General features: G+C 44.9%; 1 pseudogene, besides 1 other annotated feature; it reads right to left on the bottom strand.

The window, feature by feature from the left end:
* RPL13AP10 (ribosomal protein L13a pseudogene 10) lies at nucleotides 2061-3971 on the bottom strand (annotated as a pseudogene).
* Nucleotides 15747-16946: an enhancer, noted in NCBI's record as "CDK7 strongly-dependent group 2 enhancer chr1:114557741-114558940 (GRCh37/hg19 assembly coordinates)". NCBI's record gives its function as "activates an origin of replication core promoter dependent on BRD2, BRD4, P300/CBP, MED14 and CDK7 cofactors, with strong dependence on CDK7, by STARR-seq in HCT116 cells {active_cell/tissue: HCT116}" and the evidence as "EXISTENCE:reporter gene assay evidence [ECO:0000049][PMID:35650434]".

The raw sequence follows: 16946 nt of genomic DNA on the forward strand, positions 1-16946 counted from the left end.
TATGACAAAATGTTTTGTGTTACCTTTGGTGGTAGTGAGTTCCCTGTTACTGGAGGTGTTCAAGCAAAGGCTGAATGAATGTTGGGCACAGCTGTACAGAGAATGCAAGCATTAGATGAGGAGTAGAACTAGATGCCCTTCTCGATATTTTCCAACATTCAAATTTTGTTTATATTTTTTAGCAATATAAAAAAGAGGTCAGGTCAAAAAGGGAAGAGGTTCAAAGACACCGGAATGGCTGGCCATGTGGCAATCCTCCACAAGCTGCAATTAGAAAACAAGAGGGGTTCTCCTGGCCATCGGGATGCGGAGTAGAAGTGAGGCTCTGCCTCATTCCGCCCACCCCTAACTTGGCTTCCGGTGAAGTCTCCTGGAGAAGTTAGAGGCAGAAGTTTAGTGTGCACGTTTCTGCCTAAGCAATTCTGCAACCATTTTTCACCAACTCAGGCTCAGGCAGGTGGCTGGCTATGGTTTGTATCTGATTTGTTTGCATTTCTGTGGCAGGCAGCTGCTGTGACTGGTTGCAAAGGGAGAGATTTGCTTTGCACCTAATTTAATCCAAGGGTTAGGTAATGAGTTTGCTCCCCCTTAGAAGAGAGGAATCAACATGCTTCTTCCAATCTTATCTGTGCTTGCTTATTAGCAGGAGGGCTGCTCTGTGGACCTTGTTAGATCTCCAACGCATGTGATCACTACTCAGGGGTGATTTACTATACCTCCTGATATTAAAAACCCCTGAGCGAGACAAGAGAAATGAATAATGCTCTGTAGTGAATTTGTTAATGAATTTTCTTTCTGCACCCAAAAAGAAGAAACTGGAAAAAAAGGATGTTGGACCAGAGAAAGACCATAATTCTCTGCAAGTCAGGGTTCTTGATGAGTCTAGAGAGAAAATAATCAGAAATCTTTTTTTTTTTTTAAAATCCCATATTCCGTTCTAGTTAGGGATTGTCATTAATTTCAGGGTAGAAGATAGCTTGGCATCTTTCTGGTATTCTTAAAATAGAATAAATAGGCAGCCAACCTTAAAAAAAATAAGAGGTTTTGATCTAGGGTTTGAGTAATCTGGGCTGGCTTCTGATTTGCATATATATGTAATAAAGTATGTCCCTGTTCCCAAGGTTGATTGCTAGGAAGCTGAATTCATGAAGAATGAAACTCTGCTCAGTGACAGGTGAGGAGGCAGAGGGACTTCCTGTCAACTCCTCCAGGTGTGTACCTGTCTATAAACCCTCACCTGCTGGGTCAGGGTGTCTTGCTTCAAACTTGTGACTAGGGCCAGCTTCCTAGGCATGTGGCCTGTGCAGGTGCACAGAACCCTGCACTTAGAAGGGGTTGAGCTTAGTTTAATGTTCTGCTGTTGCTGTCTTGAAATTCTTAATTTTTGAAAAAGGAACTCCTTATTTCCATTTTGCACAGGGCCTGGGAATTATGTAGCCGGCCCTGACAGTTGATTTTTCATTGTCAATGGCTCTGTCTTGCGTTCATCTGCCCTTTCCCAACTCTGACCTTTTCTCAGGGGCAAAGTGATGTTTGCTCTAAAAGCATACATATCATGTAAAAGTATGTGTCTGTCTTTTAGGAAGACAATTTATTGCTTTTTATACCCTATTTAGAGAAGTAATACAGGTAAATTATAGGAAATCTGAAAAGTACGAAGAAGAAAAAAATTATCCATATACCCACCACACAATGATGTAGCTTTCTAGACTTTTAATACATACTTCTGTTTTGTTCTGGCTTTACATCATTGGAAATATCAGAAATAATGTTTGGGAAAATGCTTTTTAAAGATTACTAACATAGCATGAGAATTTCCCCCATATCATAATTTTTTCTTCAAAAGTTTTTTTGTTGTTAGCTACATAGCATTCCACTACACAAAAATGCCATCATTAACTCAAATGATCCCTTCTTTTTGGGCCATTTATGTTTACTACAAATAACACTGTAAAGATAACACTTATATACGTTAGAAAACCAAAAAAAAAAGATGATTTGTTTAGTTGTTTATTTATTTTATTATTTATTTTTGGGGGAATAAGCAGTGTTTATTGGGCTCAGACCAGGAGTCCATGGGTCTTGAGGACCTCTGCGTATCTGTCAGTTTTCTCCATGTTCTTTGCTGCCTGTTTCTGTGGCCTTAAGAGCTGCTTTTCCTTCCCTGAGTAAATCCTGGCCTTTTCCTTCCTCTCCTCCTGCAGGTGGCTGTCACTGCCTGCTACTTCTAGCCAGCTTCGTGAGTCAGGCACCCCAGGCAGGCAAACTTTCTTGTAGGCTTCAGACATACCACCTGGAGGGCCGCAGAAACAACCTTCAGCTGTTTCTTGTCGCAGGGCCGTGGGATCCCAGCACACACCTTGAGGCGGTCCTGGGAGGCTTGGCCTCGCGCGGTCCAAACCAGGTATATGGGGGCCCAGGAAGGGTGGGGGTCCGGGAAGGGTTGGTGTTCATCCACCTGTGGAGGAAGGCCAGGTACTTCACCTGGTTTCTGTAGAAATTGCCAGAAATGGGCCAACATAGTGAAACCCTGTCTCTACTAAAAATACAAAAATTAGCTGGGCGTGGTGGTGCGTGCCTGTAGTCTCAGCTACTCGGGAGGTTGAGGCAGGAGAATTGCTTGAACCTGGGAGGTGGAGGTTGCAGTGAGCCGAGGTTGTGCCACCGCACTCCAGCCTGGGTGACAGAGCGAAACTCCGTCTCAAAAAAAAAAAAAAAAAAAAAGAAAAGAAAAGAAATTGCCAGAAATTCTGATGCCCTCGCTGTGCACGACCCCCACCCTCCGGCCCAGCAGTGCCTGCTTAGCCACGATGGCCCCCGCGTCCCCAGAGGTGGCCTCGGCCTCAAGCACCAGGACCTGCCCCTCACCCCTACGCCATCTTCGATAGCCGCTTGGGGAAACAAAACAGATTATGCTGGGCGGGTTGAATTCCTAGAAGTAAGACCTTAGACATACATTGCCAATTGCCCTCTGGAAAACCCTTCCAATTTACAGTGGCTACGGAAGGAAGCAAGTGGGCGAAGGAGACGTGGAGGAAAAGGAGTTCTGCTTGGTGCTTTGGGCTCTGTGGGCAACAGCCGACTTTCTCTCTCTTTCAGTACTGGTTGGGGTGCACTGCAGTGATTTAGAGCAGAACTCGCTCTTCCACAATCCAAAATTCTTTCCTGGAAGTGGCGTGTCCCTGGCGCTCTCCTGTCCCCACCAGCGCTGAGGCGGGTGGGAGCTCCCAGGAGCGGCTTCACATTCAGTCGCTGCAGGATCACAGCACTGATGCCCCTGCAAAGCTGCCACTGGGAACATTTTAGTGTGCTGGGCTTGGTTTAATGTCACCGTGCTCTTTCCAAAGTCTCCTGAGGGGAGAAGAATAGCATTCCAAGCGTGATAGTTTCTAGTGAGGGTCTCTAATGAGGAAAGAGAGCTGCAGAGGAGGCGCTTGCTCCTGGGCAGCTGCTGCTGTCTCCCAGATTCATTCTGAATGTCCACGATCCCTGCGTTCACAGAACGAGTCTGCTAGTGGCTGTCATGATCATTTAGGCTTTTATTTAGGCTTTGTGAGGGGGGATGTGACCAGTTGGTCTGTTTACTACGGAGGCCTTGGCCTGTCTCTGTGGGAGGAGCTACCATATGCTGCTGGTGGGGCAGGAGCTCTTCACATCTCTTTGAAACGCAAGTTGCAAAATCTCTGCATGTTTCTACTCTGGGTCTGTGGCCAGGGTGACTCCCAGAGACTGGCTTGTGCTAGTGGGGAGAGGAGAGGGGAGGAGTGTGTTGGGGGAGGCTGGGTTGAGAAGTGACATTTACAGACCAGCTGTGCAGCAGACCCCAAGGGATCCTCAGCCCCTGCAAGGCTTCCTTTGACCCTGTGGGTCTGGGGCAGGGAAGGAGGAGGGCCAGGGGTTCTCTTTACATTTAGCTGCCCCGGTTCTTCTTTGCTTTGGATGACCTTCTCTTGATGTGGTGAATTTCCCATCTGCTAGAGATACACAATTTCTGACTTCCACCGTTTTCCTTGAACTTCTTTCTGCCTCTGCTCATGAGCCCTCTTCTTGCTACAGTCCCACTCCCCTCCATCATATGCAAGGCACTGCTGGCTCCAGGGCTCGTGTGGGAGGTCTCGCACACACACAGGTTGGACCCACACCGGGCTAGAGCCACCAGGGACAAACCACTGGCCTTTTGGCTCCTCCTCACATGTTCCCCTCCCACTTCCCCTACCCCAATCCCCATGGGAAGAACAAAAATCTCTGGTCTCTGCAGCCCACTGTGAAGAATGTCATCTGAAGGGAAGCCACACTGCCAGCAAAGGAAGTGGCCTCCTGCCTTCCCCCGCCTATGGTTCTGCCCCAAGTCCACTTAGTAAACAAAAACTTCTTAGATTGGAGTCTGTGGATGCAGTCTTATGTTCTGCTAGTTCTCCAAGCATTGCTGGAATTTCGACTTTTCAATTTTATGATAAGCTTTACAGAAACTCATACCATTTATAAAGACAAAACTGAAGTCTGTGTTTTTGCATATATGTTTCCTGGGATCCTATGAAAATTTTTCTCCTTTAAAAGGGACTGAATTTTAGACAAGTTTGAGAAATACTGCACAGTGCCTCCAATGATAACAACAGCCTTTGTTGAGCCCGTAATCAATGGTAAACCCTGTGCAGCGGCTCCTTTCGCTCCTCCAGTAGCTAGGCATCCCCTTTTTCCAAAAAAAGGAGAGCAAAGCTAAGAGACAAAATGGCTGGCCGGTGCCACACAGGCCAGGAGGCCAAGATACAAATGCCAGTCTGATACCAAAGCCCATACTCTTAATTTTATGAGGCTCTCCCTGTGGGAGGCATTGTTCTAGGCAGTGCAGGGATGAGAGTGGAATGTGGTTGTAAAAATTAACTCCAATATTCCTGGTCAGTTAGTTTGTAACCCACGAGAGGATATAACACATATATACATGTAACTAATAAAGATTGGACTGTGACTACTGCTAGAAACCAAGTGCTAGGAAGTGCCTAGGAACAGATGAAAAGGCAAGTTTTAGCTTAATGGATTGGGTTCGAAGAGGGTAGGATCACTCATTTTTAAACCAACGTTTGATTGAGCTTCTATTTGGTGCAAGGAATTGTGCTGAGCACTGTCCTGCCTTCAAAGAGCTCTACTAGGGCAGACAGATGAATGAATGGACAATGACATATGCACAGGATGGGGAACCTCCTGGCGGGGGATGTTCTCCTCTCCACCTCAGGCTGGTTAGGGAAGCACTTGAGCAGTAGCAGAGAGGGAAGGTGTATTAGTTCATTCTCGCATTGCTATAAAGAAATACCTAAGGCTGGGTATGTACAAAGAAAAGAGGTTTAATTGGCTCACAGTTCTGCAGGCTGTACAGGAAGCATGGCACTGGCATCTGCTCAGCTTCACGTGAGGCCTCGGGAAGCTTTCAATCATGGCAGAAGGCAAAGGGGGAGCCGGCATCTTACATGGCAAGAATGGGAACAAGAGAAAGTGTGAAGTGGGGAGGTGCCGCATACTTTTAAACAACCAGATCTTGTGTGAACTCACTCCTCACCAAGGGGACGGTGTTAAGCCATTCATGAGGGATCTGACCCCGTGATCCAAACACCTTCTACCAGGCCCCACTTCCAACACTGGGAATTACATTTCAACATGAGATTTACCGGGGACACAGATCCAAACCATATCAGAGGGGAAAGGGGATGTATGCTGAGTGCAGAGGAAACAGCTGGAACAAAAAGGGAGTGAGAGGCTGTGGGCCGCACAGGGAATTAGAATCAGTCCTCCATTACCCAGGGCAGGGGGCGTTGCTTGGGTAGTGGCTGTAGAAAAGTGAAGGAGATAGGCCTAAGTGCAAATCACAAAGTTTTGAAGCTTTAACAGGGAAATAGGCAGTTTCTGGCAACCTGTTGAAGGTGTTAAGAATAGGAATTATAAAAAGTTAACAGGCTGGGCAGACACCTGAGGGAGGCCAGATAGGAGACTCTTGCAGTAATGCAGGTGAGAAATGGGGAGATCTTAGTTACGGCTTCTTATTGCACTCATGGTAAAGGCCCAGAGCCATTCCAAGGACCTATCAGGCCCCACACAGGCTGACCCGTTATCTCCAGCTAGTCTTCTCTGGTTCAGCCACACTGATCCTTAAACAAGCCAGCCATGTCGACCTCAGGGCCTTTGTGCCTCTCTCTGGAATGTCTCCTTTCCAGGGAAGCCTTCCTAGCCATTTTATTTAAAGTAGTCCCCTACCCTCAACTCCCTGTTCCATTTCCATGTTGTAGTTTTCTCCATCTACCTCACTATAGCTTTTACTTCTTTGTTTATTTTCTGTCTCCTTCCAGTAGAATGGAAACCCCTTGAGGGCAGGTATGTGTCTGTCTTGCTCACTGCTGTCTCACCAGGTGCCTTCAGCCTGGCACATAGTAGGTACCTATAAATATTGGCTAAATGAGTGAATTATTGAATTTCATAGGTGAAAGAAAAAATCCACAAAGGCAGGGGTAGTAGCAGTGGGGTTGAGAACAGTGAAGAGGTAGGGAGAAATTTAGGAGGGATTGTGGATGACAGGACCTGGGATTGCTGAATGTGGGGGGAAGGGAGAGAGGAGTAAAGGGCTACTCTTAGGTGTCTGAGCTCCAGCATAGGGTCAGTGGGGGGCCATTTCAGCAGCTAGGAGACTGGTTTGAACTATGTCCGGCTGGGTGTGGTGTCTGTTGCATGTAATCCCAGCACTTTGGGAGGCTGAGGTAGAAGCATTGTTTGAGCTCAGGAGTTCAAAGCCAGCCTGGGCAACATAGTGAGACTCCATCTCTAGTTAAAAAAAAATAGCCAGGCATGGTGATATGCACCTGTAGTCCCAGCTACTCAGGAGGCTGATGTGGGAGGATTGCTTGAGCTTAAGAGATTGACACTGCAGTGAGCTATGATTGTACCACAGCACTCCAACCTAAGTGAGACCAGGATCGAAAAAAAAAAAAAAAAAGTGAGATCCTGTCTCAACAAAACCAAAAACAAAAAAAACAAACTATGTCTGGAGGATCCCTGGGAATTTCCTGGAGCCACTTTGGGGAACCATCAAAGGGAAGAAGGGTTGAGCTGAGGAACAAGGCTCCAGTCAGAGAAAATCAGTATTTATTTTGTTTTTGATTTTCTTGTTTTGGTTTGGTTTAATTTTTAAGTCACTGAGATCAGAAATTATAATAACTTATAGTTATTGTGTTCTTACAATGTTCTGGATATTAGGCTAAGCATTTAAAACTAGATCTTCTCATTTCCTCTTTATGACAATTCTATAAGGGTGACACTATTATCCTCTTTCTACAGCCCAGGAAACTGAGGCAGAAGAGAGATTAAGTGACTTTTCTAAGGTCACAGAATTAGTAAGTGAAGAGCAATGCAATTCCTGAATCCATAGTCTAAAGAGAGAAAATAGACAATGTATGGTCTGGTGGAGAACAGAGTATCACCCTTATTACTGATGATAGCAGTGTCACTCAGTTTTCACACTGCTATGAAGATACTACCTGAGACTGGGTAATTTATTAAAAAGGAGGTTTAATGGACTCACAGTTCTGCATGGCTGGGGAGGCCTCAGGAAACTTACAATCATGGCAGAAGGAGAAGGGGAGGCAAGGCACGTCTTACATGGCTGCTGGACAGAGACAGAGAGTGAAGGGGAAGTGCTACTTTTAAGACCGTAAGATCTCGCAAGAACTCACTATTACAAGAACAGGATAGGGGAAACCACCCCTATAATCCAATCACCTCCCACCAGGTCCCTCCCTCAACACCTGGGGATTACAATTCGAGATGAGATTTGGGTGGGGACACAGAGCCAAACCATATCAACAGCTGTCACATCTAGAGCAAATTGAGGTTGTTAATGTCCATTCCAGAAACCAAGGTGAACAGGCTCTCAGGGTTGGTGCCTGTCTGGTTTCCAGCCAGGTAGACTCCAGCAGGAGCACCCTGCTCAGGTCGGTCTTTCTGACAGGTAATGAAATGTCACAGCAGAAAGAAGAGCTCCCCGCCCCCCAAGGTGTGCATGAGGGTGTGCTCCTGTTGAAAGTGTGGTGCTGGGTGGGGAGAGTTACCGAAGATGGAGAACAGTGGCTTGAAACCAATAAAAACCAACTGCTGGGAGAAACACTCACCAGTTTCTGAAGATCTTAAACAAAGGACCTAAACTAGGAGATGGCAGACAAAATCATCAAAAAGAAATGTGTCCACTGGGGACTGTGGGGAGCCCCTGCCCCATCTGAAGGGCAGCTGCTGCCCTGGGCCAGCCAGTTTTTGCCACCAGGGGATGTGGGCTCAAGGTTGCTTCATTTTTCATTTTTTTTTAAAAGCCAGGAATCTGGATTTTTGCGCAAAATCATCTGACTTTTAAACGTTGCCGAAACTCCCAAAACCGTATGTGGTCCAAACCAGTAACCTCACAGGGCCCCATCTGGCCTGCACGCCGTGGTTTGTGTCCACTGACAAGGAATCTTAACCTCTTTGGGCCTTGGGAATCTGATGAAAATGTTCAGGCATTTTCTAGGAAAAAGAAATGCCTGAACAAACACATAATTTTGAGTATCATTTCTGGGTGTCTCTCTGCCCCCGGAATCATCCTTTTCTAAAGGCACACTTTGTAAAGGTAAGAGGGCTTCTGAGCAAACCTGAGGTCTGGGAAGGTACAAGCTGACAGGGGTATCTGGGTTTGTCCCACATCTGAATGAAACAGTGCTGTTTGTTGGAGTCAATATGTCCACATCTGTTTGCTTATGAGTCCTGCTTTGTACCCAACTTTCCTTGGCAGTCTTGGTTAATTCCCTCTGTATCAGTAAGGTTGCACAGGGGAGCAGGAAAGAGGCCCAAGAGGCCTGGATACTGGTCTGGAGGGGGCAGAAGAGCAGACATGAAGGCAGTGAGGGAGGCTGGATGTGGGGGGTGGGGGATGGGGGGGACTTTAGAGCTAGACTTTGAAGCGTTGATAGAACTAAAAAGAAGAAATAAATTATTTTTCTGATCTTGGACAAGGAGGAAGGACATGGATTTAAAGTTGGATGCCCTAAATGCCAAGACTGTCTGCATCTAGGACAGGTATTACATGCAAGAGGCTCTCCTTCCAGCCAAGCATGTGCCCTAGCTAAGCTCCTGCACTTTCACAGGAGGCTGACAGCCCATCTCCAGCCCAGCCTATTAAAGAATAAGGCTGCCCTTAATTGGTAACAGGGAGGAGCTGAACCCCATGTACTTGTCAGCATAACACTGAGCTCCCTGCAGCTCAAAATTTACCAAATGCTTGGTTGCAAAAAATAGCATTAATAGAGATAAAAGACATGCATTCCCACCGTTCCTCTAGATTCCATTAGTCTTATTCACAGATAAGTCAGACCTTCAGAGACTTGAACATATGGTTTTGGCCTCTGGCTGGCTAGCTCTATTGAACAAGGCTGAGCAGTTATGCCACTGGCCTCCCTCTTTATGTACTTATCATTAAGAGAATTAAGGATGAGGTTCAGTGTGTCAGGCAAATTTCCACTTTTTGAATACTTGCGTGGCAACCTCCCAGATAGCCCCCAGCAATCCTTGCGTGTTAGTAAGTCATGCCTTTGTGTAGTCACCTCCCATATAGAATAGGGCTGACCTGTGGAGCTATAAGATATACCAGACATGATGGAATGTGACTTCTCAATCTAGGTCATGAAAGGAATTGTGGCTTCCACTATGTCCTTTCCTATACTGCCCACTCAGGAGGAAGTCAGCTGCCATGTTGTGAAGACACTCAAACAGCACAATGGAGAGGTCCATGTGGTGAAGAACTGAGACCACCTGCTAACAGCCAGCAGTGTGAGCTCACTTGCCAGCTGTGTGAGTGAGCCATCTTAGAAGTACATCCTCCAGCTCCAACTGTTGTCAGCTTTTTTGGGATATCACTTTCATATCTCTAAATAACAAGCTTATATTGCTACTTTTTTCTGTTTTAGACATTGTCTATTTATTTTCCACTTTTCCATTTTTGTAGTGAGAAACAAAAATTACCACAAAACTTAGTAGGTTAAAACAATAAACATTTATTATCTCTCACAGTCACTTTCTTCATCTCCTCTCAATATATTATAGTGTAAATCTGATCAACATATATACTGATATACAGTCACATGCCACATAACAATGTTTTGGTCAGTGATGAACCACACAGACCACAGTGGTCCCATAAGATTGTAATGAAGCTGAAAAATTCCTATTGCCTAATGAGGTCAGAGTACAATGCATTACTCACGTGTTTGTGGTGATGTGGTGTAAACAAACCTACTGCACTGCCAGTCATGTAAAAGTCTAGCACATACAATTACATACAGTATGTAATACTTGATAGTTATAGGAAATAACTGTGTTACTGGCTTATGTATTTACTATGCTTTTAATCATTGTTTTAGAGTATACTCCTTCTACCTATTAAAAAAAAGTTAACAGTAAAACAGCTTCACTTCAGACAGGTCCTTCAGGAGGTATTCCAGAAGAAGGCTTTGGTATGATAGGAGATGATAGCTCTGTGTGTGCTATTCCTCCTAAAGACCTTCCAGCGGGAGAAGACGTGCAGGAGGAAGACAGTGATATTGATGATCCTGACCCTGTGTAGACCTAGGCTAATGTGTTTGTGTCTAATTTTTTTTTAAAGTTTACAAAGTAAAAATATTTAGAATTTTTTTAAGTAGAAGAAAGCTTATAGAATAAGAATATAAAGGAAATATTTTGTACAGCTGTGCAATATGTTTGTTTTAAGCTGTTATTTCAAAAAAGTCAAAGAGTTAAAAAAATTTAAAAAGTGTATAAAGTAAAAACTTACAGTAAGCTAAGGGTAATTTATTATTGAAGAAAGAAAATTTTAAAATAAATTTGGCATAGCCTAAGTGTACAGTGTTTCTAATCCTTGTAGGGTACAGTAATGTCCTAGGTCTTCACATTCTCTCACTGCTCACACACTGACCCAGAGCAACTTCCAGTCCTGCAAGCTCCAGTCATGGTAAGGGCCCTATGCAGGTGTACAGTTTTTATCTTTTATACCATACCTTCACTTTACAGTTTCTACATTTAGATATGTTTAGATCCCCGAATACTATAGCGTTACAATTGCCTGCAGCACTCGGTATGGCAACATGCAGTACAGGTTTGTAGCCTAGGTATGTGGTAGGCTGCACCATCTAGGTTTCTGTAAGTACACTCTGTGATGTGTGCACAATGACATAATCCTTTTTTATCTTTATGACCCCCTTGTCAACCCTCGAATCCCCTTTTGAATGAGGAGGAGCATAAGTACATGAGTTTTAGAGAAGGTAGTCAAAAGCTGGCATATCAAGGAATTGAACACAAGGCAAAACTCTTGAGAAGGAGCCAAGAATCAGAAGTCAGCAATGAAAGAAAAATCCCACAAACCAAAGGGGCAAGGGTGAGTTAAAAATGTAGAGGTGGATCCAGAGCTGGAACCAGGGGAAAGTTAGAACAGGTTTAGACTCTAGGGAAGCCAGCACTTTCCCCATAAGCTGGCGGGGCTTCTCAGCTTGCTTCGTGGTTCAGTGGAGGCATTGGGTTCTGAGGGGTGTTGAAGCCACTCACGTCCTACCATAGGCTGGACTCCTTTTTCCTCTCCCCACCCTTGCCGGCTCTGGGCACCGCCTCCTGCTTCTCAGGGCACCTCACTGCTCTTGTCATTAATGGAGATAGTTAGGGAGAGAGGAAATGAGGTAAAGAATGAAGTGAAATTAGCTTTACAGTAATCTCATTAACAGATGTCAGTCTCATTTTATAGGGAGCATAGAGCTACATATGGAATATTATTCTAAGAAAGCTGGACAATTCATTGCACCGAGGGGAGGAGGTGTCCCTTCTTCAGTCCATGTGAATTCCTTCAGTTATGCACTTCCCTCCATCCTCATATCTCTCTTTTGCTATGACTTCCTTCCATCAAATTTCCCTTCTCTTCTACATCTTCAATCTCTTCCTCTCTCCTAAATCCTTTCCTCCATATCTACTCAAGTTGTTCTCATCCTTTAACAATTTCTTCCTTGATTTCTCTAGTTCTGTCTTCCTTCCTTTTACAGACAGCTCTCCTGAAAGTTCTCTGCACCTACAGCTTCCCCTTTCTCTGTTTCTCACTCCACAGTGGTGTGGGTACTCTCACTCTGTCACTCATACTGGAGTGCAGTGGTATGATCTTGGCTCACTGCTGCCTTGAACCCTTGGGCTCAAGCGAGCCTCCTGAGTAGCTGGGACTGCAGGTGTGCACCACCACACCTGGCTAATTAAAAAAAAAAAAAAAAAAAATATATATATATATATATATACACACACACACACATACATATTGCAGAGATAGAATCTTGTTATGGTTCCTAGGCTGGTCTCAAACTCCTGACCTCAAGCAATCCTTCTGCCTTGGCCTCCCACAGCCCTGGGATTACAGGTATGAGCCACCACACTGGTCTCACTTATTCTTAATTTCATCTCTTCTGGTCTTTTCTTTCTTTTTTTTCTGCAGGTTACAATTCCTTTGCTTGTCCCTTAAATGCATGGTTCATTCTTGACCCTCTTCTCTTTTCATCCTCTAAATGTTTCCAGATGTATCATCTCTTCCTGTGGCTTTGTATGGCAGTGCTGCCAAATATAGATATTTCTGACCAGAGCCCTCTACTGAGTTGTGTTTGTGTGCACAACTACCTTCTGCACTTCTGACCCTTTACCCAAGGCTGTCCCTCCTCCTGGATGTCATTTTCTGGAGAATGGCATGGTCAGCTACTTTGATTTCTGAATCAGGAACCTGGACATTATCTCTGACCCTCTCTTACCCCTTCTCTACTCCATGTCCAGTCAGACACCAGTCAACATAACCCTGGACTCTGCTTCTTACCATCTCACAGCCTCAGTCCCTTCTCTCCATCCCCACAGCCACTGCCTTAGTTCAGGCCTCCAGTGTTCATGCAACCTCCTGAATGGCCTCCCCCACACCAAGATTCTCTCCATTAACCCATCTCCACATTGTGGCCATGGTGGCTATTAAAGACATATATCTGGGTGTGATGTTCTCCCAGGGAAAAACCACATTGGCTTCCGTGCAATTAGGGAATCTCTGAAGTCCCTGTCTTGGTCTTGAAGGCCTTTCAGAGTGGGCTGCATCTCTGGCCTCAGCCTCCCCAGGTCTCTGCTGTGGGCCAGTCCATGCTAGCCTGTACGGAGCTGCTTGCTGCTTTACGTGTCAGTGCTGTTGAACTTGCTGTTTCCTATACCTAAAATACATCCCTACCTTCTTCACCAGATTGACCCATACACATACTTCAGCACAGCTCAAGCATCCTTCTTCCAGCCTTCGCTGACACAGCCTCCTCCCTCTCCCCCAGGCTGGGTGAGGGACTTTTCCTCTGCGTTCCTTTGTCCTCATCTCTGTCAGACACTATCATACCATACTGTGAGCATTTGTTTTCTTGTCAGTAAATAAAGGCAGGACTTTTTGGGGCGGGGGGAAGCTTATAATACTGGTACTCTGCACAGTTTGGCCTGTTGTAGATGTTCAACCAATGTTTATTTATTTATATTTTTAGAGACAGGGACTCACTCTGTCACTCAGGCTGGAGTGCAGTGGCGCGATCATGGCTCACTGCAACCTCAAACTCCTGAGCTCAAGCGATCTTCCTGCTTCAGCCTCCCAAGCAGCTGGGATCACAGGCGCAAGCTGCCATGTCTGGCTAATTCTTTCACTTTTTGTAGAGAGGGGTCTCTGTATGTTGCCCAGGTTGGTCTCAAACTCCTGGGCTCAAGCAATCCTCCTGCCTTGGCCTCCCAAAGTGCTAGGATTACAGGCATGAGTCACTGCATCAGGACCCAACCAACTTTTGTTGAATAAATGAATCAAAGAGTGACTAGACTGCAGAAGAAAGTGTTGTCAATTCCCTTACTTAACAAAGCTGATGCTTAATAATAACAAACATTTTTCTTGGATCTCAGGTACACAGGATTATTCCGCCCTTCATCTCATCTCACAGTGTCATCAATGGTCCATGCAAGAACTCTGCCATTCATTCATTCATTCATTCATTCACTTATTCATTCATTCTTTTTATCCCCATCCCCTATATCCCATCACTGTTTTAATTTGTTTAATGTTGAATCTTGAAAAGCACACATCATTGTTTTGTGGCTGCGGATTTTTAATTTATGTGAATAGGGTTGTGATATAGCTCATTATGTTTCTTGTCTTCTATTCAGGACCATGGTTTTAAGATTCAGCCACATTGCTATGTGTTCTTCTGGCTTATTGCTCTTAACTGTTTCATTGTTCTCCTAAAACTAAACATTTAAACAGCATTTTAGTCCTCATGATTTTTTTTTGTTCTATTGTTTTGGTTTTTTTTTTTTTTTTTTTTTTTGAAATGGAGTCTCGCTCTGTCGCCTAGGCTGGAGTATAGTGGCGTGATCTCGGCTCACTGCAAGCTCCGCCTTCCGGGTTCACGCCATTCTCCTGCCTCAGCCTCCTGAGTAGCTGGGACTACAGGCGCCCACTACGGCGCCTGGCTAATTTTTTGTATTTTTAGTACAGACGGGGTTTCACCGTGGTCTCGATCTCCTGAACTCGTGATCCGCCCGCCTCGGCCTCCCAAAGTGCTGGGATTACAGGCGTGAGCCACCGTGCCCGGCCCTGTTTTGGTTTTTAAATTTGATGTTCACATCAGCAATGTGAGGAAGTCAGGGCAAGTATTAGTATCTCCATTTTACTGCAGAGGAAGCTGAAGCTCAGAGAGAGTGAGTGATTTGCCCTGAGTTATACAGCACTTTTGTGGCAGAATCTTTATGTGGGTCCCATTTTCTAACACCACATTCAAGGCATGCTCAGGGATCACACTCCCTTCTCATGTGGGTGTGGCCAGACCTGGACCCAAGGAGGAGGAGATAGGAGCCTGCCCTCATGGTCAGGGGCAGGAGTGTCTCAGGGCAAACCTCGTGAGATATCTCCCTCCTACCAGAATTCCTGCCTCCTGAAAGCACGTTAAAATGAGTGTCTGGGAAGTTGGGAATGGAGGTGGGGTGGAGGACTATGCAAAAGGCAATAGCTTTGGGGGTGGTGGTGGGGTTCACATGAGCCAGGGTTGTGGGGTGATTGCTAATTGTGTATAATAGATACTTGCCTCTCCCTTCTTCAGCCATTGTGAGTCACCCATGGGGAAATGGCCTCCATTCCCACAAGGAATCCCAGTTCCCCAGAATTGACCCCATCTGCCCACCATCATCATGATTGCTCTGTCTCAGGGGCAGGTGTGTTCTCTGCAAGTTGTGATACATGACATCTGTGATTGTTTTTCTAAATAATGAAAATTATAAGGCTGTGAGTAAACTCCTAGAAGGAACCAGGTGAACCCTCTATGAATCCTTCTCATGAGAATTTTTAGAAGCTCAGGCCACTCACTGCCTTTTATCCCTGCCCTCTTTCCATTACTGGAAAAAAACATAATTATAATCATATAATCAAACTAAGATTCATGATTAATTACAAACACATTGTTTACAAAGTACTTATTATCTCATTTAATACTCTTTTAACACATGTTGGTACCATGATCCCCTTTTAGTGAGGAAATTGAGGCTCAGAGAGGGTAAATAACTTTCCCAAGGTAACACAGAAAAAAGTGTCACAACTGAGACTCAGATCTAGATCTCCTGATCACAGGTGCTATGCCTTATCCACTACACCCCATCAAGAGCAGATGTCCAGTTTCTCTGTAGGAGAATTCAGGTTGGTGTCCAAGACTCAGCATGAAGATGATCCCCTAAAAAGAAATTGCTCATATTTATCCAGTGAGTAACCTACCTGGGTATGCTATCATTCATCATTTAGCAACTGTGCCTGGAGCCCCTGCTGGGTGTGCAACCAGCTCTGTGTAAGTGAGAAAATCCATGTCTCCTTCTGTCTTCAGAGTAACAAAGCCATTTCCCAATGAATCATAGATGACTAATTAAAATGCACACTTTTCCCGGGCTCTCTGGTTAATTCTTTCCTAAACCAGGCAGGGGTCGGGGTGGGGATGAAGTTGTTGCAGGATGGAAAGAAAGCAGAGGAGAACAAAAAGGGGATCAAAAGGAATGGAAGGGGGAGAACAAAAATCAAAGAAAGGAAGGCAGGAAGGCAGGATGTCAGGAAGGAAGGGAGAGAGGAAAAGAGGAAGAGAGGAACATGTACCTATTTGCCTCAAGGAAAACAGGTAAATTTTCTAAGTCTCTAGCAAGTTTACATTTTCTAGTATTTTACAATATATGCTATTTCAGGTATGTGATCTTGTTGAGCCACAAAAAGATCTTTTGTTTTAAGTAAGATATTTTTATACAACTTTATAAATGAGGAAGCAGATTCTGGGAGGTTAGGGATTACTTAACCTTGGAGATAATCTAGAAGAACTGGAAAGACTAAAGTTTTGATGCCCAACAGATTTGGATTCAAATCTAGACTATCTGTGATTTATCAACGTGACCTTAGTCAAGTTACTTAGCATCTTGGAGCTTTGGTTTCCTCTTCTGTAAAATGAGGATCGTGATAGCTCCGATCCCTTAGGGTTATTTTGAGGATTAAATAGGATATTGCATGGCTGTACTAGTCCATTCTCACACTGCTATAAAGAAATACCTGATACTGGGTAATTTATAAAGAGGTTTAATTGTCTTACGGTTCTACAGGCTGTACAGGAAGCATGGCTGGGAAGGCCTCAGGAAACTTTCAATCATGGCGGAAGGCAAAAGGGAAGCAGGCACGCCTTACATGGCTGGAGCAGGAGGAAGACAGAGAGGGGAGGTGCTACACACTTTTAAACAACCAGATCTCATGATAACTCACTCACTATCACAAGAACTAGCAAAGGTGAGAGTCTTTATCAAAGGTGAAATCTGCCTCCATGATCCAATCACTTCCCACCAGGCCCCACCTC

The sequence above is a fragment of the Homo sapiens genome, chromosome 1 (assembly GCF_000001405.40).
Source record: "Homo sapiens chromosome 1, GRCh38.p14 Primary Assembly".
Taxonomy (NCBI): Eukaryota; Metazoa; Chordata; class Mammalia; order Primates; family Hominidae; genus Homo; species Homo sapiens.